This window comes from Homo sapiens, chromosome 5, assembly GCF_000001405.40.
Source record: "Homo sapiens chromosome 5, GRCh38.p14 Primary Assembly".
NCBI classification, from domain to species: domain Eukaryota; kingdom Metazoa; phylum Chordata; class Mammalia; order Primates; family Hominidae; genus Homo; species Homo sapiens.
Genome location: NC_000005.10, coordinates 69,491,253 through 69,505,512, shown reverse-complemented (window position 1 = coordinate 69,505,512; position 14,260 = coordinate 69,491,253). Strand labels below are relative to the sequence as shown.

The following is a 14,260-nucleotide window of genomic DNA, read 5'->3' as shown; positions in this document are numbered from 1 at the left end:
CAAAATATGCAGAATAGACAAATCTATAGAGACAGAAAGTAGACCAATAGTTGCTTAGGGCTGATGGAACTGGGAGGTGACTGCCAATGGATAGGTTTCTTTGGAGAGTAATGAAATGTTCTAAAATTAATTGTGGTGATGGTTCTACAACTCTGTGAATATACTAAAAACCATTAAACTATCCATTCTAAATGGGTAAATTGTAAAGTATGTTAATTATATCTCAATAAAGCTGTTATTTTTATTTATTTATTTATTTTTTGAGACGGAGTTTTGCTCTTGTCACCCAGTCTAGAGTGCAATGGCGCCATCTCAGCTCACCTCAACCTCCGCCTCCTGGGTTCAAGCGATTCTCCTGTCTCAGCCTCCCAAATAGCTGCAATTATAGGCATGCATCACCATGCCCGGCTAATTTTGTATTTTCAGTAGAGATGGGGGTTTCTCCACGTTGGTCAGGATGGTCTTAAACTCCCGACCTCAGGTGATCCACCCGCCTCGGCCTCCCAAAGTGCTGGGATTACAGGCATGAGCCACCAGGCCTGGCCTTTTTTCTTTTTTTCAGACGGAGTCTCGCTCTGTCTCTAGGCTGGAGTGCAGTGGCGTGATCTCGGCTCACTGCAACCTCCACCTCCTGGGTTCAAGTGAATCTCCTGCCTCAGCCTCCCAAGTAGCTGGGATTACAGGCAAGTAGCTGGGATTAGAGGTGCGCGCCACCACAGCCAGCTAATTTTTGTATTTTTAGTAGAGACGGGAGTTCACCATGTTGGCCAGGATGGTCTCGATCTCTTGACCTTGTGATCCGCCAGCCTCGGCCTCCCAAGGTGCTGGGATTACAGGCGTGAGCCACCGCACCCGGCCTAAAGCTGTTATTTTTAAAAACTGACAATATGTTCCCAATGGCCACCTAAATGAGGCATTTAAATGGAAGCTTCATTATCATTTGTACAAAACAAAAAGGAACATACAAATATAAACCTTGGCAATCTCTTGAAACAAACATTAGGAATAGGTGACAGCAGTTGTCCTAGCAGAGACAAACTGTCATTCTGAAAGTTGAGAGAAATTCAGTTTTCAGTGCAGACCCTTTGATACAATTTAAATTTACAAGTACACATATCGTTTTATTTTTAAAAGCAAACACTTAAAGTTTCAACCATACTTATTGTTTACATGTGATAGACTTTTTAAAAGAGAATAACTAAAGAATTATTTACTTACAATTCATCAGGCCTGTAAGGAGGTGGACTTTCAAGAGGCCTGGATGACATGGCTGATTGTCAATGGTCAGCTGATCTTCAGGATGAGCAATGCCCTTTAGCTTCCAAGATAAACCAATCTAAGCAACAAAAGTAGAGTTATGGCATTACTACTAAGCTCACAGTTTCTTTCTTTTCTTCATCCCACCCCCACCCCGAGACAGGGTCTCACCCTGTCACCCAGGCTGGAGTGCAGTGGTCCAATCACAGCTCACTGCAGCCTTGATCTACCAGGCTCAAGTACTCCTCCTACCTCAGCCTCCCAAGTAGCTAGGACTACAGACCTGCACCACCATGCCTGGCTAATTCCTGTATTTTTTGTACAAAAATTTGAAATATATATAATTTCATATTACTTTTGAAAGTTCATATTAAATGAGAATGTATAAGAAAGTGCACATATAGCCGCACTAGCACATACTAGCTCCTCAATGCAAAGTAACCATCTAATGGGTTAAATGCCTTTATCATTAAAAATGATAATAAAATGCATCTATAAATGGTGGAATTGTAGATATTTTTCCCTTATCTCCTTTTCCAAGTCTTCGAAACTGAGCACAATTTTTATACAAGGGGAGAAAAAACAATATGCATGGTATTAATTGGTCATTTTCTGAAATTTTGTCCTAAAATTCTTCAGCACAAGTTCCTAAACATCTGAGGAGAAATTTCACTCAACAAGCATTTATTAAGTGCCTACACTAGACCAGGAGAGCCTGTGGGAGTGACGTATGACAGCCAGCGCTGGGGTCCTGGCTCTTCCAGGCTGGTGTGGTGCTGATAACACAGGTGGCTAGCTTATGGAACAGTGAAGTGGGAGCATGGTGGAATGGTGTCATCTTTTAAAATAAGGTTACAGTAAGAATATAGTGGATGGAGGATGAGTAAGAAAAGGGAGGGCTTTGAAAGTCTAGTGGGAGTGTCTCACTTCCTTCAGGTAGGAAACAGGGAGCCAGTTCGTGATTCTCGGCAAGGGAGGTGTAAGTTTGATTTGAACCAGATTTGAAAGACAAAGTCAACAGTAAAAAGGAGCACCTACAGTCAGCAGCAGCAAACCTAGGTGTGAGGCAACAATGAAGGACTAGCTTAGGAGACAGAAGATAGGAAGGAAACTAACATTCATCAGACACCTACCGACGTGCTGGGTGCTTTACATAAAACCTCCTTTCATCCTCAAAACGACCCTCCATGGTTGATTAGTCACTTTACAGATGCAAAGAGGGTCAGAAAGAGATGTGAAGTAATATGCTCAAGGTTATATGGATGTCAGTGAGTCACTCAGATGTAACTTGAACCCAGATGATTTCATGTGCTTTTCACTATGCTAGTTTGAAACAATGAGTTCCATTTGGGAAACACCAGTTTTTGTGGGGAGTGCACATCTGGTGTTAGCATCCATGAGGAAGTGAAGATGGAGGTCATCTGCCTACGTCCGTAGGTGGATCCATGGGCACTGAGAGCTCTCCAGGAAAAAGACAAGTCTCAGCAAGATGTGGTAAACACACAACCCCCTAACCTATAAAGCTTGAGGATTATTCTAGAAAACCCAGTGCTGGAGACACTGGCAAGGTACTTCCCACATCAGCTACAGAACTTCATGCCACTCCTTAGCTATGTTGAACCAACAATAAATTCTTTCCAGGTTATACCAGTGATTAGTAGAGTAGGGAACTTTGAGATCTACTGGAAGGTAAATTCCATGTGAGCAGGAATTTTTGCATGTTTTGTTCACTGATTAAATCAATGCCTGGCACATAGTAGACGTCCAGATAATTTGTTGAATGTTTACAGGAACCAGATTGGACCATGGATATCTCTGCCTGCAAAACCTCTTGTGCTTTCAAGTTGAAGGTAACGGAAAAGTATCAGAGTAACTTTAAAAGGTATGATCCCTGAATGACACTTGAGTAACATCTATAATGAGTACATTAAAGTATCTGATTTTTTTTCCTTTTCTAATACGGTCTGTACAATCATACATTAATATATTAACAACAGTACATCAATTCAGACTCTTAAAACTTTTTTTTAAATTAATGGCAACTCTTTTTTTTTTTTTTGAGCCGAGTCTCGCTCTGTCACCAGGATGGAATGCAATGGCATGATCTCAGCTCACTGCAATCTCCGCCTCCCGGCTTCAAGCGATTCTCCTGCCTCAGCCTCCCGAGTAGCTGGGACTACAGGCGCACGCTGCCACGCCCGGCTAATTGTTTGTATTTTTAGTAAAGATGGGGTTTCACCATGTTGCACAGTCTGGTGTCAAACTCCTGAGCTCAGGCAATCTGCCCTCCTTGGCCTCCCAAAGTGCTGGGATTACAGGCATGAGCCACCACGCCCCACCTGGCAACTCTCTTCTATACCCTTTAGGACAGTGTATTTCAAATCTCTCAGAATTAAACCCTGCCCAACTATGTATTAGATAAATCCTCAAAGATGGAAATATATAGAATGTTAATAACACCAACACAATTAGCATAATTTTCCAAAGACATGAAGGAAGATGACTTTTCTACATTTTTAAAAGCCACTTTTAAAGTATACCATAGAGAAAAGTGCACAAATCATAAGTGTACACAGCCCTGTAACTAGCACTCAAGTCAATTTCTCTATACTTTTTTTTTTTTTCTTTTGAGACAAGGTCTCATTCTGTTGCCCAGGATGAAATGCAGTGCCATCATCTCAGCTCACTACAACCTGCCTCCCAGGCTCAAGCAATCCTCCTGCCTCAGCCTCACAAGTAGCTGGACTACAGGCACATGCCACCACGCCTGGCTAATTTTTGTATTTTTAGTAGAGATAAGGTTTCACCATGTTGCCCAGGCTGGTCTCAAACCCCTGAGCTCAAGCTATCCACCTGCCTTGGCCTCCCAAAGTACTGGGATTACAGGCATGAGCCAATACACCTGGCCAATTTCTCTATATTCTAGTAATGGTGAAACACACATACAAATGAGCAATTTAGGCGAAAATGTTATGGTACTATAAAAAGGCAAAAGTCCAGATTGTCTTCAGAAAAAGAACATTAAGGAATACTGAATTTAGGCCAGGTGAGGTGGCTCACACCTGTAATTCCAGCACTTGGGAGGTGGAGACAGGTGGATCACCCTAGGTCAGGAGTTCGAGACCAGCCTGGCCATCATGGCAAAACCCCGTCTCTACTAAAAATACAAAAATTAGCTGGGCATGGTGGCACGTGCCTGTAATCCCAGCTACTTGAGAAACTGAGGCATGAGAATCGCTTGAGCCCGAGGTGGAGGTTGCAGTGAGCCAAGATTGTGCCACTGCACTCCAGCGTGGGTGACAGAGCAAGACTCCTTTAAAAAAAAAAAGTAAAACAGAAAATCTGAAGTTAAGCACTATTAAATGTGGGATCCTAGTTCTGAAGCTGAATGTCAAATATCCCCAAATTCTAGGTTCAGTGGTAGTTTTGGAAACTCTAAATTAATCCAGACTCAGTCTTAAGTTGTCAAAAATTCAAACAAGATCCCTTTTCAAACTGCTATTTCCAGGATTCAGAGTTGTCACGTCTCCCCAAAAGCACGGATTTTAAATTGTGAACCAAATCATGTGGCTCATGCCTGTAATCCCAGCACTTTGGGAGGCCGAGGCAGGTGGATCACATGAGGTCTGGAGTTCAAGACCAGCTGACCAATGTGGTGAAACCCTATCTCTACTAAAAATACAAAAAATTAGAGGGGCGTGGTGGTGCATGCCTGTAAACCCAGCTACTTGGGAGGCTGAGGTAGCAGAATTGCTTGAACCTGGGAGGCGGAGTTCGCAGTGAGCCAGTATTGCGCCATTGCACTCCAGCCTGGGCAAAAAGAGCAAAACTCCGTCTCAAAAAAAAAAAAAAGAAAAGAAAGCTCGTTAAGAACAAGTCATGCCACACCAACTTCATTTCCTTTTCTGGGAAGGTTACCAAACTGGTGGATTTTATTTTCTCCTTTATTATTTCCTCTTCAGGGAATGCAGAGAGAAAGAATCCTGAAAATCTTGAGCACATCCTTGTGTGGGTGGGCAGATTCCCAAGGGGCTGGATTACGGCACCCAATTAGCACAAAAGAATGAACCATTTATGTCCACCTGGTGGGAGGTCTCCACTGGTAAACACAGACAAAGTGGAGGAGACACGCTTATCCAGATTTGCAGCTGACCAAACACACTGGAAAGGATAACTAACCCATTGGCTAGGGCCATCAACACTAAGCAAGATCTCTGTAATGTCAGAATGATGAGTTTGAAACAACCTAGTGGTTTTAACAGCCCCCATTTACTGGCTCGCAATCTGAGACAAATTCCTTATCTCCTCTAAGTGCACTCAAATGCGGGAATAATCCTGACCTCTGCACTGGGATAAGAAAAAGTCTTAAAGAGCTGGGCGCAGTGGTTCACGCCTGTGATCCCAGCACTTTGGGAGGCCGAGGCGGGTGGATCACGAGGTCAAGAGATCAAGACCATCCTGGTCAACATAGTGAAACCCTGTCTCTACTAAAAAAATACAAAAATTAGCTGGGCTTGGTGGCGCGCGCCTGTAGCCCCAGCTACTCAGGAGGCTGAGGCAGGAGAATCGCTTGAATCCAGGAGGAGGAGGTTGCAGTGAGCTGAGGTCACGCCACTGCACTCCAGCCTGGCGACGGAGCGAGACTCCGGCTCAAAAAAAAAAGAAAGAAAAAAACCACAAGAAAAAGTCTTCAAGAAAATGGGCAACTGCATTCATCATAAGGTGGTTATCCTGAAAGTAAGAAATTTCAGTGCTTAGGCACTTAGGTATATTGTATCCATTTTCAAATACAGCTGACCCTCCACATCCATGGGTTTTAAATTCTGATTCAACCAACCTCAGACAGAAAATATTCAGGGGAAAAAAAAATTAAAAATTACAGGGCAGGTACAGTGGCTCACACCTGTAATCCCAACACTCTAGGAAGCTGAAGCAGGAAGATCACTTGAACCCAGGAGTCCAAGACTGACCACAGCAACATAGTAAGACCCCATCTCCACAAAAAATTTTTCTTAAAATTAGCCAGGCATGGTGGCACATCCCTGTAAGTTCCAGCTACTCAAGAGACTGAGATGGGAGGATCTCTTGAGCAGAGGAAGTTGAGGCTGGAGTGATCATGCCACTATACTCCAGCCTGAGTAACAGTAATACCCTGTCTAAAAAAATAATAAACAATAAAACAAAAAATAGATTTTTAAAACTACAATATCACAATTCTACATAGTATTTACATTGTATACGGTATTATAACTAGAGATTATTTAAAGTCTACAAGAGGTCTGGGTGCAGTGGCTCACACCTGTAATTCCAGCTCTTTGGGAGCCCAAGACGGGCGGATCACTTGAGGTCAGGAGTTCGAGACCAGCCTGGCCAACATGGTGAAACCCTGTCTCTACTAAAAATACAAAAATTAACTGGGATTGTGCCGGGTGCCTGTAATCCCAGCTACTCAGGAGGCTGAGGCAGGAGAATCGCTTGAGCCCAGGAGGCAGAGTTTGCAGTGGGCCAAAATTGCATCACTGCACTCCAGCCTAGATGATGGAGTGAGATTCTGTCTCAAAAAAACAATTAAAAAAAAAAGTATACAAGAGCATTTAGGCCATATGCAAATACAAAGCTATTTTATAACAAGGACTTCAGCATCCTCAGATTTTAGTATCATGGGGGTCCTGGAAGCAACCTCTCACAGATACTGAAGGGTGACTATATTGGTGGCATAAATGAGTCATTTTTAAAATGTAAACTGATTTTTTTTTTTTTTGAGACAGGAGTCTTGCTCTGTCATCCAGCCTGGAATGCAATGGCGTGATCTCGGCTCAATGCAACCTCCACCTCCCAGGTTCAAGCAATTCTCCCACCTCAGCCTCCTGAGTAGCTGAGATTACTGGCACATGCCACCAGGCCAGGCTAATTTTTGCATTTTTAGTAGAAACGGGGTTTCACCATGTTAACCAAGCTGGTGTCAAACTCCTGACCTCAGGTGATCCACCCACCTCAGCCTCCCAAAGTGCTGGGATTACAGGCATGAGCCACCATGCCCAGCCATAAACTGAATTTTTAAAAAGTCAATTCCATAGTACAGTATAGAGGAGAACTAATTTAATAATCGTTCTTTTTTTTTTTTGAGACGGAGTCTCGCTCTGTCGCCCAGGCTGGAGTGCAGTGGCGGGATCTCGGCTCACTGCAAGCTCCGCCTCCCGGGTTCACGCCATTCTCCTGCCTCAGCCTCCCAAGTAGCTGGGACTACAGGCGCCCGCCACTACGCCCGGCTAATTTTTTGTATTTTTAGTAGAGACGGGGTTTCACCGTTTTAGCCGGGATGGTCTCGATCTCCTGACCTCGTGATCCGCCCGCCTCGGCCTCCCAAAGTGGTTCATTTTTAAAGGTGCATTTCTTTGGTAAGAATTTCAACAAAAGCTAACAACCTATCCCAAACTTTATTCACAGAAATAGTGCTCATATCTAGGAATAATATGCTATTAAAAAGAACAAACAAAACCTGATTTGTACATCACATTCTAAACTATGTGCCTCTCCAGGAGGGTGACTAAGATCATTAAAGATCTAGAAAAGCTGGCCAGGCACCGTGGCTCACGCCTGTAATCCCAGCACTTTGGGAGGACGAGGCGGGTGGATCACAAGGAGATCGAGACCATCTTGGCCAACACGGTGAAACCTCGTCTCTACTAAAAATACAAAAATTAGTTGGGCATGGTGGTGTGTGCTTGTAATCCCAGCTACTTGGGAGGCTGAGGCAGGAGAATTGCTTGAACCCAGGAGGCAGAGGTTGCAGTGAGCCAAGATTGTGCCACCGCACTCCAGCCTGGCGACACAGTGAGACTCTGGCTCAAAAAAAAAAAAAAAAAAAAATCTAGAAAAACCATGTCTTAAGACAAATGATTGGAAAAACAGGAAATGTTTGGCCTGGAGAACTTAACGTCAGAAGAATCGCTTTAGCAGCCCTGAAATATATGAAGAGCTGTCTTTGTTATCCTAGAAATGGTTAAAAAAAAAAAATTCCAAAAACCACAGGCTGATTTCATCTCAATGTTAGGAAGCCTCTCCCTCACCCTGACCCCACACCCTCTCCGAAAATAACTAACAACAATTTGAGCTCATGCAATTTATGCAAAGCTTAAGTTATTTGATATTTTTTTGGAGACCAGACTGGAAGACTTCTAAGGTCTCTTTCAAAGTGAATCTGTGACTGTGCTTTAAGGCCAGCAGCCAAAGGTGAAAGAGGACCAATGCCCAGCACAGCAACATTAACAATCTGTACATGTGTTGAGTGAAGGAAAAAATGAGAATGAAGAGGCCACTTATCACCTACAGGAACTTATGTCAGGAGAGTGACAAGGACAGAAGTCAGACAGCTAAATTAGAGTCGGGGGCAAAAGGGAAGCAGCAGATAGATCCTTGTCAAATATGTTAATCTGAAAACCAGCATCTTGGGCTAATGATAAAATATAAAGTGTTCTCCCCTTGACAATGTTTACTGACCAAAAGCTGTCTTAATGGAAAACTAAGCTAAGATGAAAAAAACAGGCTGAGGCTGGGCAAGGTGGCTCACACTTGTAATCCCAGTACTTTGGGAAGCCAAGGCAGAGGGATTGTTTGAGCCCAGAACTTCAAGATCAGGCTGGGCAACAGAGTAAGACTCCGTTATCTATCTTAAAAAAAAAAAAAAAAAAAAAGTATAAAAAAAGAAAAAATAGTCTGAAAATGCTTTGGCCTCAAATTATTCTTTAAAGAAAACTGTCAATAAGTGAAAAATAAACTTTATTGTATTTAAGAGAAGTCTGTTCCTTTTAGAGCACATGCAGTAACTGTCAATTTGCCTTTAAAAAGTTTAAGTTGTGGCCGGGCGCGGTGGCTCACGCCTGTAATCCCAGCACTTTGGGGGGCCGAGACGGGAGGATCACGAGGTCAGGAGATCGAGACCATCCCCGCTAACACAGTGAAACCCCGCCTCTATTAAAAATACAAAAAATTAGCTGGGCATGGTGGCAGGCGCCTGTAGTCCCAACTACTCGGGAGGCCGAGGCAGGAGAATGGTGTGAACCCGGGAGGCGGAGCTTGCAGTAAGCCAAGATCGTGCCACTGCACTCCAGCCTGGGAGACAGCGAGACTCTGTCTCAAAAAAAAAAAAAAAAGTTTAAGTTGTGCCTTATATTAAATGATTTAGACTACAGGCACATCATTAGTAAATTGTCTAAAAATTTGAAGTTAGGCAGATTTTGTAATAGACTCTGTGTCAGAAATTGTATTTTTAATAAATCTTCCAGGTGATTTTTAAACACATCACATATTTTGAGAATTGCTGTCTACAATAAAGGTGTCAATCCAAAAAGGACATTGATCTTGCAATTTCCTGTCTAGAAAGCCCAGATCTTTTACACAACAGACACCTGCTGTTCAGGTCTCAGCTCAGACGTCACCTTCTGGGAGATGCCCTCCCTGTCCCTCACTCCATCACACAAAACTTGTTTTTTTTTTCAGAGCAAACTCCCCTCTGCCCTCATACCTAAAATATAGGTATCATCTCCACCGCATCTGGAATGCCCATATCCCAGACATCAAATGTCTATTTTGACCATCATTTATATCCCTGGTCGCTGGAACTAGCCCTGGCACAAAGTGATTGTCAATGAGTACTCAATTAATAAAACCAACAGTCAATTATTAGAGTTGGGATTTCAATCCAGCAGTGAATGCCTTGAAGTTCTTCACACAACACTCAATAAACGTTATTTTTTCCAACTTCAGTTTGTCAAATGTAATTAAGTGCGTAGAGTCTAAGAGAAAGGGAGAAAAAGAAGACAGAACAGTCTGAGAATCACCTGTGAGCCTGTTAGAAAGGCAGAATCCCAGGCCCCACTCCTGACCTCCCAATCAGAATCTGTGTTTTAATAGGATCCCTAAGTGATTCATACCACAGCCAAGACTGGAATCACTGGGTTACGGAACAGCGGCAAGCCTAGGGGTTAAAACAAAAAGCCTAACATAAATCTGCATGGTCTGTTTACTCTCTTATTTCCATAAATAGTAATTTGATGAAAAAGATCCATTAATATTCCAATCAAATAAGCCTTAAAATGCAACTGAAGAAAACTTCCTTCTGGGAGGTTCCTAGGAAGATGAAAGATATTACATCAGATCATTTATGTGGTTAAAAGTAATATACTATTTTGAAAAGGTAGTAATTCCAACACTACCTTTAGAAGAAAACAAGAATTTTACCTTGATATCAAGCAAAATGCGGGAAATCTTGTATCAGGCTACAGTTACTAGTCAATGGTAGAAAAGTCCAGAAAAATTCCCCAAATCTGGTTCTGGAATATCAAGGACCGCTGCTTCTGATACTCCTTCCCATATTAGCTGAAGCAGTTTGCAAGCAAGCCCACCTGCAACGTTTCCCCCACGGCATTTGCCCACTTTTAAAATGGAGTTCTACTAAGGCCTGCCTTTTAGAGTTGTTGGGATAATTAAATGAGAAAATACAGAATGCTTTTACCACAGTGCCTCACGTGCAGGAGGCACTGCTGCCCACTATTTCCCGAAATGGCCTGGAAACTGCCAAAAGGTGGAGAATCATGTCTTACCGATCTCCCTATCCTCTGCTCCGTCACCTAACAAAGGAGGCCCCTAATAACTAAATAAATTGCAAAACGACCAAAAAAAAAGTGTTGCTTTGTTTGAGGAAATATCTCTGCCTCCCACACACACTTAAGATGTCTATTTTAAAGCACCACTAAGAAAATATTCATAAAGGCTGGGTGTGGTGGCTTACGCCTGTAATCCCAGCACTTTGGGAGGCCAAGGCGGGCGAATCACCTGAGGTCAGGAGTTCGAGACCAGCCTGACCAAATGGCAAAACCCTGTCTCTACTAAAAATACAAAAATTAGCTGTGCATACTAGTGGGTGCCTGTAATCCCAGCTATTCGGGAGGCTGAGCAGGAGAATCGCTTGAACCCGGGAGGCAGAGGTTGCAGTGAGCCCAGATGATGCCACTGCACTGGGGGACAGAGCCAGACTCCGTCTCGGAAAAACACACACACACACACACACAAGCACCTCATATGTACAGTGCAAAAGAACTACTGTTACTATTGTTACACTTGGGAACGCCTAGTTTTCTATCACACCAAGAATCACCAAAAAACACCATAAGTGCCTTCATGGGAAACGTTTCTCTTTTCCAGGTATCCCAATAATACACCTGTTGCCTAAGGGCCACACACTGACTGGCCTGGAAAGCCGCCGCCTCCTCCTCGAGCAGGGTAATTCCCCAAGCGGGCAGTGTGGCCAGCGAGCCCCGGGTCCGGCCTAAGGATGCCGCGGCTTTTCCCTCGGGCCCGGTGGCTTCCCGAGGAGCGCGAGGGGCTCGGCGCCGCTCCCAACCCCTAGGCGCAGAGGCCATCTTGGCCCTCGACCCCTGCTCCCCGCACGCTTCCTCCGACGCAGGCAACATGGCTGGCGCGCGGGGCCGGCCCAGTCCCGGAGGTCCCCAAACTCCGTGGCCCGGCTGGGCGCGGGTCCCGGCTTCCGTGCGCACCGAGGCGCTCCCAGGCAGCGCGCGCCCACGTTCGCCGGGCAGGCACCGCCCGGAGGCAGTTCCGCCCCCCTGGGGGCAGCCCTTTTGGTCACGGATGAGAATCCGAAGCGTGAGCAGCTTCCCTCGAAGTCCAGCCTCACTCGAAATTAACTCCCCGCCCCCCAGCTTAAATCGACGCGGGTTCACACAACTCGCAACAAGTGGATTCGAAGTAGCCAGTGTGGCCCACACCGTGACTCCTGGAATATTTCACAGATTGAATCCAGCCCCCGTCTCCCCGGGATATCCAAAGGGGTGGGGTGGGAGCGGAAGGAATGAAATTCCCCCCGGGATCTAAGCCGCCCGGGCCGCCGAACAGCCGCCTCGCTGCAGCCTCAGGCTTAGGACCCCCAAGGAGCTGGGCGCAGGATCCCTCTCCATGAAGGCCGCCCCCCCAAACTGCAGCCCCAGAGCGGATGCAGGATCGTCGCTGTTCAGGAATGTCGTGCCCCATAAAAGTGAAAAGTTGCCCGCGCCGCTGAGGCACTGCTAGCTTTCAGCGTTTCCGCGGAATAAAGCTTGATCGGCGGCTCCAAGCCACCCCTCGCCCCAGGAGGCAGCCTCCCAAGTTGGCCGGTGCTGCTCTCTCCGCAGACCCGCGCCTCTCTGGTTCCCACGAGTCCCAGCTCGGGGACGAAACTGCCACCGAAACCAGCGCGGAGCGTCCTCCCCCCGGCACCTCCCCTAACATAGTCGCCGCGGTCCCCCCACGGGGACCCTCGGGCTCCCGTGCGCCCCTGACGCCGCGCCCAACACTCACCCGCTCGCCGCAACTGGGCCCGACCCTCCGGGGGCCAACGGTGCCAGGGAGCGCGCTCACCTGGCGGGCGCACCTGACGCCGCACCGACCGCCAGCGCTCAGCCGGGGACTGGGCTGGGGACGTCTCCTCCCCCTTCTCCCTCTCCTTTCCCTCCTCCCTACAACCGGCCCTGCCCCCGGGCATGCGCACCAACGTGGAAGGGGGTGCGGGAAGCCTGCGGGCCAGCGCCGCGAGTCCCACCTGCTGCGTCCTAGACCGGCTCCTCGGCGCTCTGGACCTGGCTCTCGGTTCCTGCCGCCTCCGCCAGAGGAAGCAGGGAGGGAGAGGTGGACGCGGGAGTGTAGGTGTGGTGTGTCGGCCTCCTCCCTCGGTGACCAATTCACCTGAAACTCGGATGGGAGGGGGCGGGAGGACGCGGTCCTGCTTCCCACACCCTGCCAGCGCGCTGTTAAAGGAACCGCGCGACGTTGCGGCCCGAGAGGCGGGGCGCAGAGGAGAGGCGCGGGCTCCTAGGGGGCAGCACGGATGGGGGTCCCTGACCACCCCGGGGTGCGTTCGGTGCTCCGCCTGCTTCGGATGGAACCTTGGGGTGTCTGATGGAGAGAGGCCGAACGAGGTCCAGAGGGGACTGTTTCCTCCGGAAAGAGGGTCCAGGCACTCAGCACTTTGATAGGAAAGGCACGTCCTCACAGGACACTTTTCTGCTTCCAGAATTTGATTAAACTGTTGCTGGAAAAAGGCATCTAGATGTATTGCTCCAACGAAAGACTCCTGGGAAAATTTCAAAAGTCGTGTGTAAACATTGGCGCTGTTTCTGAATCTCTAGATTCAGAATAAGAGACAATTACTTAGAGGGGTTAAAATGAGGGTGAACTACTGTAGGTGTTAGTTGCCATCCAGCAGGCTAAAGTGCATAATACAGTTTACACATCACCACCCCAGGGTCCTCTCCTGCCCACCCGGTCCGCTCTTGAGGACCGGGAAATTTAAACTATTATGGCTCTTTGGCCTGAGAAAAAGCACCTTATACGTTGTTTACCAACCTGTAGTGCTTTAAGAACAACACTACTTAAAAAGCAAAATAAACTTGGTTTACTTTTTTTTTTTTTTTAAGAAAACGAAAAAGCACCTTAGTTCCGGGTGCTGTATTCTATTTCTTGATCTGGATTCTGTTTCCAAGGGAAATTTCATAGTCTGCACTTAACACTGTGTATATTTTTATGTATGTTGGTTGTTTTTCAACATATTTTTTAATTGTACTCCAGGATGTGGCAATTATAGTTCTTGGCATTTAACTATCTGCATTGAAAGCGAACTTTTAGGTTTCTTACATCCTGCTTGTCTTTGTGTTCCAATCTGGAATGTCAGCATTGCTAATAAATTTCTATCCAATCCCACCCACTTCTCTACCTTTAATTAAATGGTTAGAGATGTGACTCTCCCATACATTAGATCTTAAGGCACAATTCATACTTGAGGAAGTAAAAGCACTATATAAATATGAGGTATTTCAGATGATGGCAGCTTTAATGGGTAATTAATTTAATTGGTATTTTTTTCGTGGAAGTCATTGCTACAAATGCTTTAATATGACTATGTAGTTTTTGAATGATGCAGTTTAAATTGGTATTGTTAACACTGGGGAAG

At 45.9% G+C, this 14,260-nt stretch overlaps 1 protein-coding gene across 7 annotated transcripts in view, besides 1 other annotated feature; it reads right to left on the bottom strand.

Moving 5' to 3' along the window:
* OCLN (occludin) overlaps positions 1 to 12,966 on the bottom strand; it is a 65,558-nt gene extending 52,592 nt beyond the window's left edge. For 3 of the 7 annotated variants that reach the window (NM_001205254.2, NM_001438048.1, NM_001205255.2), the window contains exons 1-2: positions 12,613 to 12,723; positions 1,219 to 1,336 (exon numbers count right to left, since the gene is read on the bottom strand). In NM_001205254.2, coding sequence (NP_001192183.1) covers positions 1,219 to 1,268 — 50 coding nt within the window. In that variant the 5' untranslated portion in view covers positions 1,269 to 1,336; positions 12,613 to 12,723. Of the gene's footprint in view, positions 1 to 1,218; positions 1,337 to 10,097; positions 10,488 to 12,612; positions 12,724 to 12,802 lie in introns of those variants that run through there. The other 4 variants (NM_002538.4, NM_001410743.1, NM_001438604.1 and 1 more) reach the window with 3 other exon arrangements.
* Positions 5,182 to 5,731: an enhancer, noted in NCBI's record as "H3K27ac-H3K4me1 hESC enhancer chr5:68795609-68796158 (GRCh37/hg19 assembly coordinates)". NCBI's record gives its function as "activates a minimal SCP1, AML or CMV promoter by ChIP-STARR-seq in naive H9 embryonic stem cells {active_cell/tissue: H9 hESC(naive)}" and the evidence as "EXISTENCE:reporter gene assay evidence [ECO:0000049][PMID:30033119]".